Source organism: Homo sapiens, chromosome 12 (assembly GCF_000001405.40).
Source record: "Homo sapiens chromosome 12, GRCh38.p14 Primary Assembly".
NCBI classification, from domain to species: domain Eukaryota; kingdom Metazoa; phylum Chordata; class Mammalia; order Primates; family Hominidae; genus Homo; species Homo sapiens.
Window position 1 is genome coordinate 101,790,100 of NC_000012.12, and position 24,120 is coordinate 101,814,219.

General features: G+C 40.5%; 1 protein-coding gene and 1 pseudogene across 3 annotated transcripts in view; both read right to left on the reverse strand.

Moving 5' to 3' along the window:
* Positions 1–24,120, reverse strand: part of GNPTAB (N-acetylglucosamine-1-phosphate transferase subunits alpha and beta) — an 85,461-nt gene that overhangs the window by 44,601 nt on the left and 16,740 nt on the right. For 2 of the 3 annotated variants that reach the window (NM_024312.5, XM_006719593.4), the window contains exon 2: positions 6,578–6,663. In NM_024312.5, the coding sequence (NP_077288.2) occupies positions 6,578–6,663 (86 nt within the window). Of the gene's footprint in view, positions 1–6,577; positions 6,664–8,877; positions 8,930–24,120 lie in introns of those variants that run through there. The other variant, XM_011538731.3, reaches the window with a different exon arrangement.
* On the reverse strand, positions 6,311–6,403 carry RNU6-172P (RNA, U6 small nuclear 172, pseudogene; annotated as a pseudogene).

Below are 24,120 nucleotides of genomic sequence, written 5' to 3' on the forward strand. Positions count from 1 at the left end.
CAATATATTTGGTAATAAGAATATCACAGGGTTTAAACCCAGAGATTATGAAAAAAATCTCTGAAGAAGTAATCCAACCATGACATATTATCACAGAACTGCATGTTTTCAAACTGTAGCTGGGGGGCTAATATTTGTCAAGTACCTCCTCTGTGAGTTGTATTATGCTAGACACTTAGGTAATTTGCATCACCTGATGCACACAGCCACTCTGTAAGAAGGCTAATATTAGATTTAAAGATTGTTCGTGGGTGAAGTAGAGTAGTCTTGGAAGTTCAGTTTACATTAAACTGCCTGTTCTCATAATTTAGCAAAGAAGGGAGCTGGGATGCAAATGCCGTCAAACATAGAAAATAAATTAGAAGTTTAAAGAACAAAATTACAGGCTCTGCACAGTGGCTCACGCCTATAACCACAGCACTTTGGGAGGCCAAGGTGGGAGGATCACTTGAGCCCAGGAGTTTGAGACCAGCCTGGGCAACATAGTGAGAACCTGTCTCTACAAAAAATTTTTAAAATTAGCTGGGTATGGTGGTGTGCATCTGTAGTCCCAGCTACTCAAAAGGCTGAGGTGGGACTACAGTGAGCTATGATCGTACCACTGCACTCCAGCCTGGGAGACAGATCAAGGCCTTGTCTCTAAAAAAAAAAAAAAAAGAACAAATTACAAAAAAAGTTATCAAAACCCACAATGAAGACCTAACCCTACTTAATGCTGTAGCCTTCTTGTGCCTTGCTCCCCCGCAAGCCTGCACCCTCCCCAGCCTCACCTCTGCTTTTCCTTTTTTTTTTCACAGCACTTACTACTTTTGTAACATATTAAATAATTAACTTGTAACCTATTCCGTTAATTATGTGTGGCCCTCTCCTAGAATGTAAGCTCCAAGAAAGCAGAAAACTTTCATGCTTTGTTCTCTAAAGTATCTGTGCAATGAGAAGAGTGCCTGGCACACAGGTGACCAATAAGTATATGCTGACATATGAGACACTAGTACAGAAGACCTTCCTGAACTTGCACCATTTCTTCCTGATCATCTTGTCCTCATAATAAAGAGTCAGGCAGGCTTTTAATTCTTGAGTATGTTGTTTAAGCCTCACCTTAGTGATTTTACCCAGATTTTATCCCTGCCAAAAGCACTCTTCCCTTTTCTCTCACTACCAAAAACCTACCCATCTTTCAGGGGCCTGCCCAGATGCATGCCACTTTGACTTATGACACAGGAGTTCATGTGTACATCTGGGTACTGATACTACTTTAGATCAGCAGTGTCCAATCTTTTGGCTTCCCTGGGCCACAGTGGGAGAAGAATTGTCTTGGGCCACACATAAAATACACTAACACTAAAGATAGTTGATGAGCCAAAAAAAAAAAAATAATAAACCACGCAAAAAAAAAAAAAATCTCATCATGTTTTAAGGAAGTTTACAAATTTGTGTTGGGCCGCATTCAAAGCCGTCCTTGGCCACATACGGCCCACAGGTTGGGCAAATTTTCTTTAGATAGTGCTATTTCAAGTTTAGTACTTTCCAAGAAACTGTATGGGTTTTGCAGTTTTATTTTTAGGCCAAGGACCAAAGCATACCCTCCTTTTGTCCTCCTCACAGCCCAGGCACAGCCTAGACTTTCAGTTGCTACCATATTATCTCGTGGGAAAATAAATGCTATTTGGTAGCTAAATCTTTTGAATTATGGAAAGAAAAAAATTAACAGAAATGAAACAACCTTTAGCTTACAAGAAGTAGGGGAGATAACTGGATGAGTTTCTCCATTCACTGAATAATTCTTATTGAGCGCTTAATATGTGCTAGGTACTGTTCTAGGTGCTAGGGTTTCAGCAGTAAATAAAACAAAGCCCAAATCTGTGCCTTCACGGAGCTTACATTCCAGAAGGGAGAAGACAGGAAGTAAATCAAATAAATAAAGTCAGATGATGTTAAATGTTGTGGAGAAAGTAAAGCAGCAAATGGGGATAGAAAGAGTGTCTATGGGGAGGCGGGGCGGTCAGTTTTAAATAGGGAGATCAGAGATGGCCTCAGTAAGAAGGTGACATTTCAGCAAAGATATGAAGGAAGTGAGGAAGCCAGCCAGGTGGGTAACTGAGAGAAGAATGTGCCAGAGAAAGGGAACACCAAAGGCAAATGCCCTGAGGCAGGCGCCTATCTTGCTTGTTCAAGGACCCAGAGGCGAGTTCCCTGAGCAGAGGGGAGAGAGGAAATGGAAGAGAATAGTTGAGATGAAGGTCAAAGAGATAACAGAGTTCCAGAGCTTCATCTGGAAAATAAGGAATCACCTTATTCTCTGGCATATGTGATAGCTGAGTACTTACCAAATGTCTTGTCAAGTTTCACCACTGCCTGCAGAATAAGGTCTAAAGTCTTTCATAATCTGCACCTTATGTTCTGGATGATCCAATTGTATACCCTTGTCCAAAGATGAAACGAACTTGCAGGACTTTGTACCTTTGAATATGCTTTTCCTTCTGCCTAGAACATTCTTTCTTTCATGCTTCCTTTAACCACCTCCTCCTTCCTCAATTCCCTCCCTTCCCTCACCTCTCACAAAGAGAATCTATAGCTTCATATGCAGCTTCCACACTACTTTGAACTGTAAGGAATCCTGATTGTACTGTGCTGTGCTATTTTCCATGCAGCCCTATCTTCCACTAGATGGAGTATCTCTAGGGCAGAAATGTTATCATGCATTCTGTGCCCTGCTTCATTAATTATTTCCTCTCTTTCCTACACCTTCGGGCTCTCTCTCCCTACTGTAATGATTTGCAAAGGTTTCCCTATCTAGGGTTTTTCTGAATTTATCAATAAATAAATTCTAATGTTTGTAGAATTTCCTTTTCTCACAAGCTCTCAGGTAATGCTGATGTTGCTGGTCCAGAAATTGCACTTTGGGAACCACTGATTTATATGTAGGTTACACACTTCGCTTTTTTTCCCCACTAAAATGCCAATTCTATATAAGGCCAATGAGTTCATTTTGTTCACCACTATATACCTAGGGCCTAGAATAGTTCCTCCTACATGGGTGGGGTTTAATACATATTTATTGCCTAACTATTAGTTCATTCCTTTATCATATATATCAGTCTTTCTCATTTAAAAAAAAATCCATCTGCCTCACACTGCCCACATGTAAATTATCCAAGGTCATCTCATTCCCAACCTCCCAGGTGATTTATGCTCAGTCTAAAAATAAATTTTAAAAAACTGCTTCAGTGATGTGTTTTTAAAAGAAAAGGTTAAAGGAGAGGAGAATTACATCTTAAGCTTTCCTGTAACTAAATATTTCCTGCTACTAAATATTTTTAATATATCATTTATATTATATTATTTAGCTGATTAAAACATAATATACTGCATGTATTACATGATCAATTTAACTTTGGCAAAACTGACAAATGGAAGGAGACTGTGTGATCTGCACGAGGTCAATGAGTCAGTTGTTTTCCTATTAGACATGGTCACACTCTGAATCTTTCATTCTAACCACTAGACCACTATCTTGGTTCACAGATGAGAAGGAATGCATTATCTTGGAGCTGAAAACTAAGACTAAGTCACTCATAACTCAGAACCAAAGCAGCAATGACACTGACATAACTTTCATTTTAATCACTGTTTAGTTTAAGTGAATATTAAAGCCACTTAACAGTCCCTTGGTTCTACATTCTATAAAGTAGGTGAGAAAACAGAGAACTTAAATAGTATTTTGTCTTACTTATTTATTTATTTATTTATTTACTTATTTAGAGATAGAGTCTTGCTCTGTCGCCCAGGCTGGAGTGCAGTGGTGCCATCTCAGCTCACTGCAACCTATGCCTCCCAGGTTCAACCAATTCTCCCTGCCTCAGCCTCCCAAGTAGCTGGGATTATAGGCAACCACCACCGCCCTGGCTAATTTTTGTATTTTTGGTAGAGACGGGGTTTCACTATGTTGGCCAGGCTGGTCTTGAACTCCTGACCTCATGTGATGTGCCCACCTTGGCCTCCCAAAATGCTAGGATTACAGGCGTGAGCCACCGTGCCTGGCCTTCAATAGTATTTTAGAACCAAAGAGTTGGAAGAGATTGTAGTCTTAATCTAATACAATAGCTCTTAATCTAATATCCACATTTTACAGATGACAAAATTGAGCCTCGGATTGACTTAATGCCTCACAATTAGTAGCAGTGAATAGTTTATATATTCACTTTTACTGACATATGGAATGGGATTTTTTTCATTCAGAGCAAACAACCTTAAAAAGATTTATACTGGCCAGGTATGGTGGCTCACACCTGTAATCTTAACACTTTGGGAGGCTGAGGTAAGAGGATCGCTTGAAGTCAGGAGTTCGAGACCAGCCTGGGCAATACAGCAAGACCCCATCTCTATTAAAATAAATAAATTTTAAAAATAAAAAATCTGTACAGAAACTAGCAAAATAATGAAAATATATCAATGTTATGGTATCTTAAAATATATTAGACCATGTGAAATGTTATATATGATCCATTTATTTGTCATCATCAAAATGAGGAAATTTTGAATATATGCCTACATAAAAATCAAACTATATTTTAATGCAACCTTCTAAACTTCTTTAGAAAGAGAACAAGAGTGTTTGATTAAAACTGCTGACCTCAAAATCTGCATTTTCTAATAAGCTAGTTTTCTTTCTAAAAGTTTAAAGCAGCTGGGCATGGTGACTCATCCCTTTAATCTCAGCACTTTGGGAGGTCAAGATGGGAGGATTGCTTGAGTCCAGGAGTTTGAGACCAGCCTGGGCAACACAGTAAGACCTCATCTCTAAAAATAAATAATTAATTAATTTTTAAAATCAATTTAAAAATTTTTAAAAACGTTTGAAGCTTCTTCGGGGCAGGGATCTATGCATCTGTGCACCATCTGCACGTGGCACAGCATAAGGCACAAATCAATAAATATCTGATTTTAAAATGTTAATCAATTTAGAACTTTCCTTAGGGAAATTAACTTGTTAAAGTGAAAATTATATTTCATTAAAAATCCTTTAATGCAGTAGTTTTCACAGTGGGGGCACCAGACCAGCAACTTTGGTATTACCAGGAAGTTTGGTAGAAGTGCAAATTCTCAGAACCCCTCTGAAACCTATACGCAGAAACTCTGGGCTGGGAAGTAACTGTTATTTTCTTAAGCCCTCCACTGCAAGCTAAAGTTTCAGAACTGCTATATTAAGGAATGGTCCTCAAACTTTTACTGTTTGGTCCCTTAAAATTAAAAAATTAGTATGGACCCCAAAGTGCTTTAGTTTATAAGGTTATAATTATCCACATTTGCCATATTTGAAAATAAAACTGAAACATTTTAAAAATACTTAATTCATTTTAAAATGAGAATAGGCCGAGAGCGGTGATTCATGCCTGTAACCTCAGCACTTTGGAAGGCCGAGGCGGGTGGATCACCTGAGGTCAGGAGTTTGAGACCAGCCTGGACAACATGACGAAATTCCGTCTCTACTAAAAATACAAAAATTAGCTGTGCGTGGTGGTGCATGCCTGTAATCCCAGCTACTTGGGAGGCTGAGGCAGGAGAATCGCTTGAATCCAGGAGGCAGAGGTTGCAGTGAGCCGAAATCGTGCCACTGCGCTCCAGCCTGGGCAAGAGTGCAACTCTGTCTCCAAAAAAAAATAAAAATAAAAATAAAATAAAATAAAATAAACACCTTTTATAATGAAATTACTACATTTTCTAAAATAAACCAAAAAAATAGTGAGAAGACAGAAACAAAAACCAGAAAGGACTTGTGTGATTCATTTTATCTGCAAAAAGGGAAGGAGGGTGTTGAAAAAAATTGTTTCCATTCTGAGGTCTGTCTTGTGAAGAGGAAAAAAAAAATCCCCAAAGACAAGAAATGGTGAAGACTGCGTTCCAGAATGGCGGCACTAAGAAGCTTGGCCTTCCAAGGGAAAGACCCACACTAATGAGGTATGAGGCTATTTGCTCCTCCCTCATAGGTAAGCAGCAAGAGTGACCAATGGAGTGGGGTTCAGCCCCAGTGGTTTACTGGGGAGTGGTCCCATTTCACAGGACGCTGTCAACAGAATTCCGGCCAGGGCTCAGAAACCGCTGTGTAGTAGCCACCTGGTTTCCTCATCCTACAGGGGGATGAAATTCCCTTTACCTCACAGACCTGGGGAGACAGAAAATGCAATCATGCAATTTAAGGTACCCAATAAACTACAAGGTGGGATTACTCTCTGTGAATCAGATTTTTCACCCACAAAATGTGGTGAACACACTTTTCTTCAGATGGACATATTTTCTTTCCTTATTTTAAAAAAATATCTTACGGAATACTTCATGAATTGGTGTGTCACCCTTGCACAGGGGCCACACTAATCTTCTCTGTATCGTTCCAGTTTTTTTTTCCTTTTTTTTAGTATATGTGCTGCTAAAGTGAACACATCAGATGGGCATACTCCTGAGTAAATTAAACCATATCTATAACTCAGAAAGACCCCTTAAACTGTCATATTTACAGGATGGCTATTTCATGACTTACGATTTAGGTCCAAATAATAGATTTCTCCAAAATAGATCTTACCGATTCTGAAAGGACTTTCCAGCAATATTGTCTCTATAGGAATCAAACAAAACATGGTATTGATCTCGGCTCCATTCCAGAACCACCTAGAACAAAGAAAAAGAAACGTTTTCTTCGCATCAAAGACTAAGAGTATATAACTTTCATTTCATTTTAATTTCATTAGAATTGCTAGAGAAATGGGTAAAGAAATCAAAATTCATGTATTCACTTACTGCCTACCACATACATCGTGTTAGATCCAGGTGAATAAGCTACAGTTCCTGAAAAGGACAAACTAAAAGACTTAGTGTCTCACCATGCTTGGAATGGGGTAGCGGAATCAAAGAGGTTTAAAAGGATGTGGTATTTGAAATGGGTCTTGAAGAATGAGTTCACCAGGTAGGGAAAAAAGGACAGGGCCAGCCAGTTGGAAGAGCATGCTTGTAGGCTGAGAAGCAGCAAGGGCAAATTGTTTCAGGGCAACTGTGTGGCTGGCTTTGTCCAGAAGACAGGTAGATAACTGTTGAGAAATGGGTCTAGGAAAGAAAGCTGGGCCCTAAGCGTGACGTGCCTTCTGTGCCTTGGAAGCACTGAAGGATTTTAAGGCAGTTACAGAATCCGTCTAAAGTTTAGGAAAGACTCTTCTCAGAGCATTTACAGACACAAGCAGAAACAGAAGGGACAGGCCGGGCACGGTGGCTCACGCCTGTAATCCTAGCACTTTGGGAGGCTGAGGAGGGTGGATTCCCTGAGCTCAGGAGTTCGAGACCAGCCTGGGCAACACGGTGAAACCCCGTCTCTACTAAAATACAAAAAATTAGCTGGGCATGGCGGCATGCGCCTGCAGTCCCAGCTACTCGGGAAGTGAGACAGGAGAATTGCTTGAACCTGGGAGGCATAGGTTGCAGTGAGCCAAGATCGCGCCACTGCACTCCAGCCTGGGCAACAGAGCGAGACTTCATCTCAAAAAACCAAAAAACCAAGAAACATAAGGGACTGACAAGATATGGGAGGATAAGGACCTTATTACCTGTGAGGTTTCAGCTAACGACCTTGTTAAACATTTCAGGAGAAAATGGAAAGCTTTAGATAGAAGTTCCCTCATGTTTGCACCCTAAATCTATAAACCTACCCACACATACATCCCATTTTCTTTTTCATTCCTCTTACCACAGAGGAAGTGTCCCCCCACCTTGCAGACATCCAATCTCTATTTGCTCTGGATCTCATCAACTTGTGTGTTCTCAAGACCTTGCCTCTCTTTTCCTTTCAGTAGGATTATTCCCATTGGCACGCAAACATGTTCCCGTACCTTGGGAACACCTTCCCTTCACTCCATATCCATTCCAGTGAGTCCCTCTACCCCACATTTTCTGTCCCTTTCAAGGTCATCTCCTGCTTTCCCACTCACCCTTCAGCTCACTCCAGTATCACTTATGTTTTCACCACTTTAGTGGCCTTACCAAGGCCCCCACATTGTCAAACTCAACGGCATTTTCCTCATCTCTTACTCAAGTATTCATAGCAGTTGCCCAGTTCCTCTTTGTGGAAATGTTTTCTTGGTTTTCCCTCCTGTCGCCCTGGTGGCTCCTTTTCCATCTCCTTTGCCAGCTCATTCCCTTCTATCTAATCTTTCTGTGTGTCCTTTCCTTCTACTCTACATGCCCTCCTTCCTGACCAGGCTTCCTCCAGCATCCTATTCCACTGCCCCTAAGAAGTGGCCCTGCTACATTCAGATGGGCTGTGGGGCCCAGGCATTTAGAATTCATTCCAACTGCAGAAAGGAAAGGGAAAGACATGCCCCACCTTTAAGGAGACATCATGGAAGCTGCACCTACCACTTCTGTTTTCATTATCCAGAACTTACACAAATCTATTATATTATAAAAAGTTAAAATGTATCAAAACTTATACAAACACAGACTGTACATGGTACCGTTTGCAATTGAGAGAGGTAAACAAACATAAAAATGCAGCAATAAATCATAACCGAATAAAATCAACTGTAGTATATACTGTACTAAAATAATTTTGTACCCATCTCCTGTTACTATTGCAGCGAGCTCACATGTTGCGAGTATCTGTAGTGACACTAATTATCTCCACGTGAGCAGTTTGTCTCTCTAGTAAACTGCATGTTGCGGTAAAAAGTGATCTCTCATGTTTCTTACGTATTTTTCATATTTAGTGCAATACCGTAAACTGCGAAGAACATCATGGGACTCTTAGAAAGTGCCACTAGTGCCGATGGAAGTGCTCCCAAGAAGCAGAGGAAAGTCATGTCATTACAAGAAAAAGTTGAATGGTTTGACACGTACCATAGATTGAGGTCTGCAGTGGTGGTTGCTGGCCATTTCAAGACAAAAGAATTTAGCTAAGAATCATTGTTTTTTAAAAAAAAAGGCAATGAAAAATTATGAAGCTGTCACTCCCAGCTAGAAAACTGCATTTTTTGCTAAATGCCTCTTTATCTTGTATTGAAAATGCGCTTTAACGTGGGTCCAGAATTGCTATAAGAAACACATACCTACAGACTAACATAATGCAAGAAAAAGCAAAGTTGTTAGATAACAACTTAAAGCAAAAGGACAATAAGGGTCTAAAGCAGGAGAATGTAATGCCAGCAAAGACTGGTTTGATCATTTTAAAAAGAGATTTGGCTTAAAAATGTCAAGATAACAGGAGATGCACCTGCAGACCAAAAGGCAGAAGATCAGTTCCCAAAGAAAATCATCGATGAGAAAGGATATCTGCCTGAACATGTTTTTAATACAGATGAAATTTAATCATGGGAAAAATGTGACAAAGAACATTTATTAGTAAGGAAGAGAAGCAAGCATCAGGATTTAAAGCAGGAAGGGAAGGGACAGGCTGACTCTACTGTTTTGTGCAAATGCTGTTGGGCTTTCCTTACCTGTAATGCTGCTAACCCCCAAGGCTTGATGGAAAAAAATTAACACCAACAGTCAGTGTTTTGGTTGTACAACAAGAAAACCTGAACAAGAGTTCTTTTACTGGACTGGTTCCTTGGATGCATTGTCTCTGAAGTCAGGAAGTACCTTGCCAGTAAGTACTTCTATTAAAGTTCTTTTGATTGGACAATGCCCATGGCCACCCAGAACCCCATGAGTTCAACACTGAAGGCACTGAAGTGGTCTACCTGCCGCAAAACACAGCATCTCTAATCAGCCTCTAGATTTGGGGTGGGGGTGGGAGGGAAGAGGAGGGGCATAAAGATCTTTAATGCTCATTACACATGGTACTCTATGGAAAGAATTGCCAACGTTGTAGAAGAGAACCCCAATAGAGAGAACTTTTGGTTTTGGTTTTGTTCTGACTTGTTTCCATACACTTGTACGTGTACTTGAGTTTGTTGGACACTGGTCCAAACCCCAAACATTCCCTGACAGGGCTTATAAGGTTCTTATTTTGCTCTTGGGAGATTAATGAGAAGCAGAATGGGATCCTAAAATGCTAAAGCATGCAATCATAGTCCCTCTCCTGGGACCTCTGCCAGCTAGCTACATGTTCAAAAATTATCTTTGGCCAGGTGTGGTGGCTCACACCTGTAGTCCTAGCACTTTGGGAGGATGAATTGGGAGGATCGCCTGAGCCCAGGAGCTCAAGACCAGCCTGAGCAACACAGTGAGACCTCGTCTCTATTTTTTCCCTATTATAAAAAATTTTTTAATTAAAAAAAAATTATGGTCTTCTCTTGCGAACAATTTTAAATCAATGGATAGAGAACATCAAAACTAATTTGGATGGCCATCCTGGAGATCTTTTGGGTCCGCAAACTTGTCTTAGAACAAAATTAGGGCTAGGTGCAATGGCTCATGCCTGTAATCCCAGCACTTTGGGAGGTCGTGGAGGGAGGATCACTTGAGGTCAGGAGTTCAAGATCAGCCTAGCCAACATGGTGAAACCCCATCACTACTAAAAATACAAAAAAAAAAAAAAAAAAAAAAAATCAGCCAGGCGTGGTGGCAGTTGCCCATAATCCCAGCTACTAGGGAGGCTAAGGCAGGAGAATCGCTTGAACCTGGGAGGCAGAAGTTGCAGTGAGCTGAGATCGCGCCACTGCACTCTAACCTGGGTGACAGAGTGAGACTCCATCTCAAAATAAAAAGAAAACAAAAAACAAATAGAAGACAGCAGCCCTATAATTAAAAATCTGAGTGGGAGGCATACTTTAATTGGTACCTTGAAGCTTCTAAGCACACTCAGGATCCTAAAATTGCCTCTCTACAAGACACGATCTCAAAATTAATTAAGATAAACAGTTAAGAAAAAACAAGGGCCAGGTGGCTGACGCCTGTAAAGCCAGCACTTTCGGAGGCTGAGGTGGGAGAATCACTTGAGGCCAGGAGTTCAAGACCAGCCTAGGTAACATAGTGAGACCTCATCTCTACAAAAAATAAAAAATTGGCCAGGCATGGTGGCACACACCTGTAGACCCAGCTACTCAGAGGCTGAGTCTGGAGTATTGTTTGAGCCCAAGAGGTGGAGGCTGCAGTGAGCCATGATTGCATCACTGCACTCCAGCCTAGGTGACAGAACGAGACCCTGTCTCAAAAAAAAAAAAAAAAAAAAAAAAAAAAGGCCAGGCATAGTTGCTCATACCTTTAATCCTAGCACTTTGGGAGGCAGAGGTGGGTGGATCACTTGAGCCCAGGAGTTCGAGACCAGCATAGGCAACACGGCAAAACCCTGTCTCTACAACTCCAAAAAATTAGCCGGGTGTGGTGGGATGTGCCTGTAGTCTCAGCTACCTGGGAGGCTGAAGCGGCAGAATCGCTTGAGCCTAGGAGGTGGAAGTTGCAGTGAGCATTTACTGTGCCACTGCACTCTAGCCTGGGTGACAGAAAGAGACCCTGTCTCAAAAAAAAAAAAAAAAAAAAAAAAAAAACTGGAAAAAAATTTAAAAAAGAGCAAGGCCTTAAGGACCCAAACTCCTTCCTCTCTGGAACAGATGAGACTTCCCCTTCCTTCTTTCTTCTCTATTCTCCTCTCTTTCTCTGGCCCGCCAAAATCTGTCCCTTTAAAGTTAAAGGAGGCTGTATGAAGGAAAAAAATAAAAATAAAACAATTTGGTTAAACTAGCCTGAGTGTGGTGGCTCATGTCTGTAATTCCAGCACTTTGCAAGGCCAAGAAGGGAGGATCGATTGAAGTCGGGCATTCGAGACCAGCTGGGGCAACATAGTAAGACCTTGTCTCTTCAAAAAAAAGAAAAAATTTTTTTTAATTAGCCAGGCATGGTGGCGCACACCTGGAGTCCAGCTACTCAGGAGGCCAAGGCTGGAGGATGGCTTGAAGTCAGGAGTTCATGGCCAGCCTGGGCAACAAACTGAGATCCTGTCTCAGAACAACCAAACAAACAAAAACAAATCAATTCGCCGGGCATGGTGCATGCCTGTAGTCCCAGCTACTTGAGAGGGTAAGGTGGGAGGATCACTTTAGCCCAAGAGTTGGAGGCTGAAGTGAGCCATGATTGTACCAGTACACTCAAGCCTGGATGACAGAGCAAGACCCTGTCTCTTAAAAAAAAAAAAAAAAAAGAAAAGAAAAGAAAAAAAGAAAAAGGAAAGAAGAAAGAAAGAAATGAAAATTAAACTTATTGACAATTCCTCTAGACCCCAAATTTCTTTTGTTCTTTGGAGCAAGGCTGAACTTCGTGCCATTGCCAGGGAACTTCCAGAGGTTACTGGGGACCCTCACCAATTTGCTGATTAATTGGACATAGTAACTTAGGGTTATCAGCCAGGTTTTTCTGACCCACAGTAGGTGGTTCACATTCTTGTCAGTGAAGGTCAGGCACAACACTGGATGGTCAAGGCTCACTGCCATGATCCTGAGGGGGATTTAGACAAAAACACCCCTAAAGACTATGGATAGAGTCAAAGGCATAGAAGGAAAAAAAAACACTCCACAAGTCTGTTCTCGAGGCTCTTCCTAAAGCCTTAGACTGGAAAAACCTCCAGGCCTGTGCCCAAGAAAGAACCTAATGTACAACTATTACAGTAGGCTCCAGGCTGTATTTAAAGAAAATGTTGAATCTACTCAAGTAGCCTTTTATTCCATGTTAGTGAACAGCCTTTCTCAAGAACTCTCCCAGCTGGTCAAAAGGGCCCGAACAGAATGGGAAACTGTGCCTACCTCTGATCTAGTTAATTTGGCAAATCAGCTTGCCAGCACCCTTGAGGACAATACTAAAAAGAAAACCACTAAAATCCTTAATCTCCAGTTACGGCAGATGGAGACTCCCGGACATAACACCATGAGGAGACCTCCTGGGCTATGCCACTTCTGTAAGAAGCCAGGACTCGAAAAGAGTGCTGAAAAAGATGGAATCTCTCATCAACTTTAATGAATCTCCAGGGAATTAGGCTGAGTTTAAAAAAAAAAGTCTCAAAAGTCCAGAAAGTAGACTCAGAAAGTGATACCCCAAAGACTGGCACTTTAACATGCCAAGAGGCCTTAGAAGCTGCCTCAGAATCAAGGTCCCTCTAACCTTGTCTTCCCTCCAACAAGGGAAAAAGAAAAGATAAATGTACCATGTTCCTAGATTACAAAAAGTCTTCTTAGTTTCTGAAAACAAAATTTGTTTTGCATGGAGGCACTAAAAGAAAGACTAAGATATATTAAAGATATTTTAAGCTTTATCTTTTCTACTAAACCTCCTCCTCCTATGATATTAACCAGGAAGTAAAATCTGCTGATTGCCAGCAGCATTTCTAATCACATTCGATTAAAGACACCCATTTTCCTGATGCAAAGTGGCTTAATGCAATAAAGCACAACTTTAAAAAATTAGGAGTTCAATGGTTATTAACACAGGAATGATTTCTTCTCTTCACATAAATTAAAGGAAATGATTCAAACCGAAGATGGATGACCACTATTTAGTCAAACACTAATTAAACTCAGACATTTTTCTAGACCATGGCTACCCTCTTTGGATTCTCTACCGCAATAGACACACAACATAACAGATTTTTTAAGGAAGACAAAATGGAAATCAGGGCTCTGTCCTCAAGGAGCTGACATTCCTGTTAAGGATTAAACATTTATTTGCATGAAATGATGTAGGACTACTGTGTAGCTTTTAAATGAGTACAGATTAAAATATAATAAACACTGTTAGACAAAAGGAATAATCATGACATATTTTTCCACGGAGAGAGAGCTGAGATTTTTATGGAAATAAAGGAGTAGAGAAAAAAGAAAGATTTGTTTGCCAGTTGGGGAGTAGGGAAGAAAATTGTATTAGAAGTCAGAATTAAGAATACTGTCTAGGCATGGTGGCTCGTGCCTGTAATCCCAGTACTTTGGGAGGCCGAGGTGGGAGGATCGCTTGAGCCTGGAAGTTCAAGACCAGTCTGGGCAATATAGTAAGACCTTGTCTCTATTTAAAAAAAAAAAATTTTTAAAGTTAGCCAAGCCTGGTAGCACTCACTGGCAGGAGAATTGCTTGAGCCCAGGAGCCGGAGGTTGCGGTGAACCAAGATCAGCATCACTGCACTACAGCCTGGGTGACAGAGTGAGACTGTCTCAAAAAAACAAAACAAAAAAAGTATTGCTTTGTGCTTTGACAATGCACTCTACTATATAAAAGTCATATCTAAAAGAAAACAAAAAGAACCCTTAGCAATCACACTTGGCTAAAAGGAAAAGAGAGAAAGAGAAAAAAAAAAAGAACCAACGAACTACCAAAAATACTTTCAAAAAGTATTCAAACCGACTTTCTGAATATATCTATGTTGTTTGTTTTATTGCTCAGAGTTTTCAGAATCACCGAATTCTACAGGAAGAACTTTGAATCCAGTGCCCTACTCTGCAGCCAATGTTTGAGTTCTTGTTATAATGTCCTGGCAAATAGTTATTCTACCTATGAGGGTAGACCTGCACTGTCCAATATGGTATGTGGCCACAAGTCATTATTTAAAACGTAAACTAAGTAATATAAGAAATTCACTACCTTAATCACCTAGCCACATTTCAAGCACTCAGTAGCCACATGCAGTTAGTGGTCACCATAATGGGCCAAATAGAAATACAGATTTTGGTCACGGCACTAAGTTTGTTTAGTGCTGCAGCTATTCAAACCTTAAAGACTGTCACAAAAATACACAAGGTGGCAAGTCAGAACAACTGGACCTAAGCTCCAGTTTTGTGATTTTAGACAAGTCAACTTAACCCTAAATTTCAACTGTAAAATTTAAATAATACTATCTTATCCCCTAAGGGGTTGTTAGAAAATTCAAGTGAGCTGATAAAATATTCTGACAACTACAAAGTACTATAGGATGTATAAGGTATTAAAATTATGATACAACACTGAACTTATTACAACCCACAAGGGGCTCACAGACTACTGGGGAGACAAATATGATGCAAATAATTAAAATATATCATGTGAAAAAAAAATTACCAACATATGAACAAAAAATGGTTTAACTTGGTATATACTTTTAGTATAATTAGTAAACCAGAAGCCAAACTAGTCAAATTAAGATTTTCAAATTTTATTTTTGCAAAATTGTCATAAAAAAGTTTACTGAAATGAAGTTTTGCACAATATCTGTTTGTGAAACTTAATGTATTTACCTCCACTAACAAGTGAATTTTATTTCACACTGTTACCTAAAAATATTTTTAAAATACACCAAGAAGAGGACTTTTAAAAAATGAATTTGAAATGCTAAAAAGTCATAAAAGGTGAAAAGAATGTTTTTGTTTTTGTTTTGAGACAGGGTCTTGCTTTGTCACCCAGGCTGGAGTGCAGTGGCGTCATCAAGGTTCACTGCAGCCTTGATGTACTGAGCCTAGGGCTCAGGCAATCCTCCCATCTCAGCCTCCTGCGTAGCTGCGACTACAGGTGCACATCACTACGTCTGGCTAATTTTTGGATTTTTTTGTCAAGATGGGGTTTCACCACATTGCCCAGGTTAGTCTCAAACTCCTGGGCTCATGCGATCTGCCTGCTTCTGCCTCCCAAAATGCTGGGATTCAGGCCTGAGCCAGGTCAAGAATGTTATTTTTTTAAAAAATAGCTGCTAGGCCATTTAAAAAAATTGCTCCTTTCTTGAGGAGCAATTGGCAGTGTGTACCAAAGAAACAAACAAATAAATGTTCATGCCTTTTGATCTGGTTAATTCCACTACAAGAAACATATGCCGAGGAAATTATCATAGATCCACCCAAAGGCTTCTGTACGATAATCACCATTATTACCGATAAAAACGAAATATCTAATGTTTAGATCATTAAACATGATTTAAAAATTAAACAGGAAATTGAGTAATTATGGTACATTCATATAAATATGATAAAGCTATTAAAAAATCACATTTTCAAACAATCGTTTAAAACATAGTAACTTAATTTTCTCAGTCAATAAATATTATGTGGCATCATTCTAGATTCTGAGGACATAGCAATGACCAAAACAAAGTTTCTTCCTTTGTGGAGCATTACAAAGTAGTCAAGGGATAAAGTGTTTGATAAAACATTATATAAAAAAAGCAACAATCAAAACTATTAGTCTGGAGCTAGACATCAGCAAAATGGTGGAACAGGCTGCTACAATTTTTCTTTCCCCATGTAAACACAGACAAACAAGCCAAAACTGCCAAAATAACAACAAGAAACAAAAACACAAATATTGTATGATTCCATTATATAAAATATCTAGAACAGGCAAATCCATAGAAACAGAAAGTAGATTAGAGGCAACCAGGAGCTAAAGGAAGAGATGACTGAGGAATTTAATGGTTACAAAGTTCCTGTTTGGGGCGATGAAAAAGTTTGGGAAATAGTCAGTGGTGATGATTGCACAACTTTGTATATGTAACTAATGCCACTGAGTTATATAATTAAAAATAGCTAAAATGGCAAATTTTATGTTATATATGTTTAACCACAATAATTTAAAAGAAAAGTAAATCACTACAATACCTTCCCCCCTAAAAAATTAAGGAGCATTATGAACAACTCTGTCTCCACAGACTTTATAATTTGGATGAAATGGACCAACTCCTTGAAACACATGATCCAAAAACTCAAAAAACGAGAGAGGTCATCTGAATAGGGCTATATCTATAAAAAAATTTGAATCAATAATTAATAACCTTCCAAAATAGAAAGCCCCAGACCCAGATGGCTTCACTGGTGAATTTTACCAAACACTTAAGGAAAAAAAAAATGATACCACTTCTCTACAATCTCTTTCAGAAAATGGAAGCAGAGAGAACATTTCCTAATTCATTCTATGAGGCCAAAACTACCCTAATACCAAAACAAGGCAAAGACATTACAAGAAAGGAAACTTATAAACCACTATCTCTCATGAACACAGATGCGAAAACCCTCAGTAAAATATTATCAAATCAAATCCAACAATATATAAAAAGAATTATTTACCACAACCAACTGGGATTCATCCCAGGTATACAAGCCTGGTTTAACAACCAAAAATCAATTCATAAAATCCTTCACATCAACAAGCTAAAGAAGAAAAATTGTATGACGATACCAATAGATGCAGAAAAAGCATTTGACAATCCAACATTAATTTATGATAAAAATGTTCAGCAAACTAGGAATACAGGAGAACTTCCTCAGTTTGATAGAGCATCCACAAAAACAGTTTCACCTAATATCATACTTAGTGATGAGAAACTACATGCTTTCCTCCTAAAACCAGGAACAAGACAAGTGTGGACTCCTCCTCCCATCACCATTCTTATTCAAAATTGTACCTGAAGTCCTAGCTGATGCAGTAAGACAAAAAAAGGAAATAAAAGGTAAACAGATTGAGAAGGATGAAATAAAACTATCTTGGTTTGAATAGAAGAAAAAAAAAACTGTCTTTGTTCACCGATGACATGACTGTCTATGTAGAAAATCCCAAAGAATCAACAACAACAACAAAATCTGAAACAAATAAGCAAATATAGTAAGACTGCAGGATACAAAGTTAACATACAAGGCCAGCACAGTGGCTCACACCTGTAATCCCAGCACTTCTGGAGGCCCAGACTGGTGGATCACCTGAGGACAAGAGTTCGAGACCAGCCTGGCCAACACGGTGAAACTCCACCTCTACCAAAAATACAAAAATTAGCCAGGTGTGGCGGCGCACACTTGTAGTCCCAGCTACTCAGTGGACTGAGGCACAATAGCACCACTGTACTCCAGCCTGTGCAACGGTAAGACTCTCTCAAAAAACAAACAAATAAAAACAAAGTTAACATACAAAAGTCAAAAGTCAAGTGCTCTCCTATATAACAACAATGAACAATTGGAATTTGAAACTAAAATACACAATACAATTTAGGTTAGCACCCCCTGCTAAAAAAGAAAAATAAGAAATGCGTAGGCATAACTCTAACAAAATATGTATGAATATGTATGAAATCTTTGTGAAGAAAACTACAGAAAGCCAATGGAAACAATCAAAGAAGATCCAAATGAAATTCCATGTTCACAGACAGGAAGGCTCAATATTGTTAAGATGTCAGTTCTTCCCAACTTCATCTACAGATTCAATGCAAACTCAACTAAAATTTCAGCAAGTTATTTTGGGGATATAGACAAACTGACTCTAAAGTTACATGGCTGGGCATGGTGGCTTATGCCTGTAATCCCATCACTTTAGGAGGCCAAGGTGGGAGGACTGCTCGAGCCCAGGAGTTCAAGACCAGCCCGGGCAATTAAAAAAAAAAAAAAAAAAAAGCTGGGCATAGCGGCATGCACCTGTGGACCCAGCTACTCAGGAAGCTGAGGTGAGAGGATCACTTGAACTCAGGAGGTGGAGGCTATAGTGAGTCGTGTTCACGCCACTGCACTCCAGCCTGGATGACAGAGCAAGACTCCGTCTCCAAAAAAAAAGAAAGAAAATCTAGGTGACCTTGGATTTGATGGTAACTTTTTGGATACAACACCAAAAGTAACAATCCATAGGTGAGAAAAAGACTGATCAGTTGTACTAATTAAAAACTTCTGGCCAGGTGTGGTGGCTCATGCCTGTAATCCCAGCACTTTGGGAGGCTGAGGCGAGTGGATCACCTGAGGTCGGGAGTTCGAGACCAGCCTGGCCAACATGGAGAAACCCCATCTTTCTACTAAAAATACAAAATTAGCTGGGCGTGGTGGTGCATGCCTGTAATCCCAGCTACTTGGGAGGCCAAGGCAGGAGAATTGCCTGAACCCGGGAGGCGGAGGCTACGGTAAGCCAAGATTGCATCATTGCACTTCAGCCTGGGCAACAAAAGCGAAACTCGGTCTCAAAAAAACTTCTGCTCTGCTCTGGGAGACACTGTTAAAAGAATAAAAAGATAACTATTGACTGAGAAAAAATATTTGTAAGACACATATCTGATAAGGAACTGGTATCCAAAATATACAAAGAACTCTTAAAATTCAACAATAAGGAAACAAACAACCCAATTAAAAACTGGGTAAAAAAATCTGAAGATACCCAACCAAAGAAAACATACAGATGGTAAACAAGTATATAAAATGATGCTCAACATCACATGTCATTAGGGAATAACAAATTAAAACAGCAATAAGATACCACTGCACACCTAATGGAATGGCTAAAATCCAAAACACTGACAACACCAAGCCGGGAAAGATGTGAAGCAACAGGAATTCTCATTGATTGCTGGTGGGAATTCAAATGGTGCAGCCACTTTGGAAGACAGTTTGTCAGTGTCTCACACAGCTAAACATAGGCTTATCACAGTCATGCTCCTAAGTATTTACCTGAGTTGAAAAATTGTGTCCATATAAAAACCTGCACATAAACGTATATAGCAGCTTTATTCATAATTGCCCCAAACTGGAAGCAATCAAGATGTCTTTCAAAAGGTGAATGGCACCAGACAATGGAATATTATTCAGTGCTACAAAGAAAAGAGCCATCAAGTCATGAAGAGACATAGAGGAAACTTAAATGAATATTACTAAAGGAAAGAAGCAAACTGAAAAGGTTACATATTATGTGATTCCAAGAAATGACATTCTGGAAAAGGCCCAACTACAGACACAGCAAAAAGATCAGTGGTTGCCAGTGGGGAGGAAGGAGAAGATGGGAATGAATAGGTGAAGCACAGAGCAAGAACAACTGCAGGGCAGTGAAACTATTCTGTACAATACTGTAGTGGTAGACACAGGACATTATGCGTTTGTCAAAACCCACAGAACTGTATAAAACAAAGAATGAATCCTAGTGTAATCTATGTACATTAGTTAATAAAAAATCTATCAATATTGATTTGCCAACTATAACAAATGTACCACACTGACCCAAGGTGTTTTTAGGGGAAACAGGCCAGGTATGGTGATTCACACCTGTAATCCCACTGCTTTGGGAGGCCAATGCAGGAGAATCCCTTCAGACCAGGAGTTCAATATAGTGAGACCCAGTCTCTACAAAAAAAGGTGTAGTGTGTGCCTGTACACCCAGCTACTTGGGAGGCTGAGGGAAGGAAGATCTCTTCAGGCCACGAGTTCAAGGCTGCAGTGAGCTGACTGTACAACTACACTCCAGCCTGGGCAACAGAGCAAGACCCGGTCTCTAAAAATAATAATAAGTAAATAAAACAAGCCTATTAAAAATGTATGGAGAACTATTTAGGGGAGAGGGAGTATACAGGAATTTCCTGTACCTTCCATATAATTTTTCTGTAAACCTAAACTGCTCTAAAATATAAAGTCTACTCCAATTTCATATATATATATATATATATATATATACACACACATACACACACACACACACACACACACACACACACACACATATATATAAACTAAATCCACATTCTTTCTTTTAAGGTCAAATTTAGCAACTGCTCACCATGGGTGACCTTTCCATATTTAGACAGTAGAAAAAAATATTTCTGTGCTCAGCTTACTTCCAGGTGCCAGGCTTCCAGGGGCCGAAAATACAGTGGTGAATAAGACAGAAAGGCCCCTGCTCCCACAGAGCCTACATTTTAAAGGAGAGAGGTAAGAAATCATATATATCAACATACAATTTCAGACTGACACTAAAAGTATTATTTAAAAAAAAAAAAGGAAAAATAGGGGAATGTGATAAAGAAGGACTTGGGGAAAGAGGCTGCTTTGGGACAGGTGGTGGGGAAGGCCCAAGTGAAGTGTTACAGCTGAGACCTATGTTGACAAGAAAGCCTGTCACCAGATGATCTGGGGGGAGTGCTCTCCTGCTCATGGAACAGCCAGTACAAAGCTCCTAAGGCAAGAAAAGTTGAATGCCTTCAAAGAACAAAAAGACGGTGACTGCAGCAGTTCTGAGCCTACACCTCAGAAGGGTTTGCGAGTATCTAGAGGATCTCTCAGCCTCTACCTTTGCCTTGAGAAGAACACAACCAGGTTCGCTGGCTGGTCCCTGGAGGATGAGAGACCCGTGGAGCAGAGCCAACCAAGTCCAACCCCAATCAGTTAACCAATGACCTGCACATCCAGAGAGCAAGTAATTGCCACTGTAAATCAAGGACTGGAAATCTTTCTCCGTAAAAGACGAAATAGTAACATCTTAGACTTTGCAGGCCATATAGTTTCTGTCTCAGCTATTTAATTCTGCCACTGTAATGTGAAAATAGCCACGGACAGCATGTAAATAAATGGACATGGCTGTGTTCCAATGAAACTCAAATTACAGAAACTGACATTTAAATTTCACATAATTTTTTCTTTTTTTTTTTTTCTTTTTTACTCTATCTCTGTGGATTAGTCTGTTCTCGCATTGCTATAAAGAACTACCTAAGACTGAGTAATTTATAAATAAAAGAGGTTTAACTGACTCACAGTTCTGCAGGATGTACAGGAAGCGTTTCTGGGAGACCTCAGAAAACTTACAATCATGGCAGAAGGCGAAGGTGAAATTGGCACATCCTCTTACGTGGCCGGAGAAGGAGGAAGAGAGCAAAGGAGGAGGGTGCTACACACTTTTTTTTTTTTTTTTTTGAGATGGAGTCTCACTGTGTCACCCAGGCTGGAGTGCAGTGGTGAGATCTCAGCTCACTGCAACCTCTGCCTCCCGGGTTCAAGTGATTCTCTTGCCTCAGCTTCCCAAGGAGCTGGGATTACAGGTGCCTGCCACCACACCCAACTAATTTTTGTATTTTTAGTAGAGATGGGGTTTCACCATGTTGGCCAGGCTGGCCTCGAACTCCCGACCTCAGGTGATCTAACTGCCTCGGCCTCCCAAAGTGCTGGGATTACAGGCTGAGCCGCTGCGTCCGGCCGGTGCTACACACTTTTAAACAACCAGATCTCAGGCAGGGCGTGGTGGCTCACACCTGTAATCCCAGCACTTTGGGAGGCCGAGGTGGGCAGATCACTTGAGGCCAGGAGTTCGAGACCAGCCTGGCCAACATGATGAAACCCCATCTCTACTAAAAAAAATGCTGGGCGTGGTGGCATGTGCCTGTAATTCTAGCTACTTGGGAGGCTGAGGCAGAAGAACTATTTGAACCCAGAAGGCAGAGAGAGGTTGCAGTGATCTGACATTACACCATTGCCCTCTGGCCTGGGCGACAGAGTGAGACCCTGTCTCAAAACAAAATTAAATTAAAATAAACAACCAGATCTGAGAACTCACTCACTAACACGAGAAGAGCAAGGGGGAAGTCCCCCACTATGATCCAATCACTTCCCACCATGCCTCTTCTCCAACACGGAGGATGACAATTCAACATGAGATTTGGTCAGGGACACAAATCCAAACCATATCACCTTGCCAAAGCAAGGCCTCAAAAAATTAGCAAAAACCTCAAAGTTGGGCTGGGCACAGTGGCTCATACATGTAATCCCAGCACTTTCGGAAGCTGAGGTGGGAGGACTGCTTGAGTCCACGAGTTCAAGACCAGCTTGGGCAACATGGTGAGAACCCCCCCATCTCTACAAAAAAATGTAAAAATCAGCTGGGCTTGGTGGCACACACCTGTGGTCTCAGCTACTAAGGAGGCTGAGGCAGGAGGATCTTGAGACCAGGAGGCTGAGGCTGCAGTGAGCTGTGTTCATGCCACTGAACTCCAACCTGGGTGACAGAGTAAGACCCTGTCTCAAAAATAAAACAAAAAGTCAGAGTTGTTCCTCTCCATGAAAATATTTATTTATTTTTGATTGTAGAGATGGGGTCTTACTATGTTGCTCAGGCAGGAGCACAGTAGCACAATCTTGGCTTACTGCAGTGTCAACCTCCCAGACTTAAGCAATCCTCCCACCTCAGCCTCTGAGTAGCTGGGACTACAAACATGTGCCACCATGCCCAGCTAAGTGTTTTTTGTGTGTGTTTTTTTTTTTTTTGGTTTCTTTTTTGGTAGAGATGGGGTTTCACTATGTTGCCCAGGCTGGTCTTGAACTCCTGGACTCAAGTGATCCTCCCGCCTCAGCCTCCCAAATTGCTGGGATTACAGGCATGAGCCACCACACCCAGCCCCATGGAAATCTTAGTAAAAGGCAAAAGATTTATGCAATCCGAAGGGAAACTAGAGTATGAATTTCATATAATTTTCATGTTGTTGTGAAACATTAATTTTTAAAAACCACTTGAAAACGTAAAAGCCATTATTAAATTACAGCCCACACAAAAAACAGGTGGAGTTTGCTGCTCCATTTTAAGCCAGCAAATTTGGGGATAGTTTGTTACAAGACATTTTTGTAGAAATAGTTACATGATACACACTGGTAACCTGATACAGGCTCTTCAGAGAAGTGGGTAGGGTGCTACATTTAGGGACATATATAAAACATTGAAAGGAGTCCAGATTTTCTATTATGTGCAATGAACATGATATAATCTGATTCACATTTTTAAAAATGTACTCTGGTTGCAGTCTGGAGAATGGATTATAATGGAGCAAGAGTGTTAAGAGATGACAGTGGCTTATATTTGTATTTGCGTGATAGAGATACAATATATTTCTTTTTTCTAACGTATGTTTCTTGTTAAATACTAGGAACAGCAGTTCTCAAACTTTTTGGTCTCAGGACCCCCTTAACCTCTAAAAATTATTGAGGACTGGCTGGGTATGGTAGCTAACACCTGTAAACTCAGCACTTTGGGAGGCCAAGGCAGGAGGATCACTTGAGCTCAAGAGTTCAGGCCGGGCATGGTGGCTCACGCCTGTAATCCCAGCACTTTGGGAGGTTGAGACGGGCAGATCACAAGGTCAGGAGTTTGAGACCAGCCTGGCCAATATGGTGAAACCCCGTCTCTACTAAAAACACAAAAATTAGCCAGGTGTGGTGGCATGCACCTGTAGTCCCAGCTACTTGGGAGGCTGAGGCAGAAGAATCGCTTGAACCCGGGAGGCGGAGGTTGCAGTGAGCCGAGATCGCACCACTGCACTCCAGTCTGGGCAACAGAGCGAGACTCCATCTCAAAAAAAAAAAAAGAGTTCAAGACCAGCTGGGCAACATGATGAAACACCATCTCTACAAAAACTACAAAAATTAGCCAGGTATGGTGGCATGAGCCTGTAGTCCCAGCTACCGGTGAGGCTCGGGCAGGAGAATCACTTGA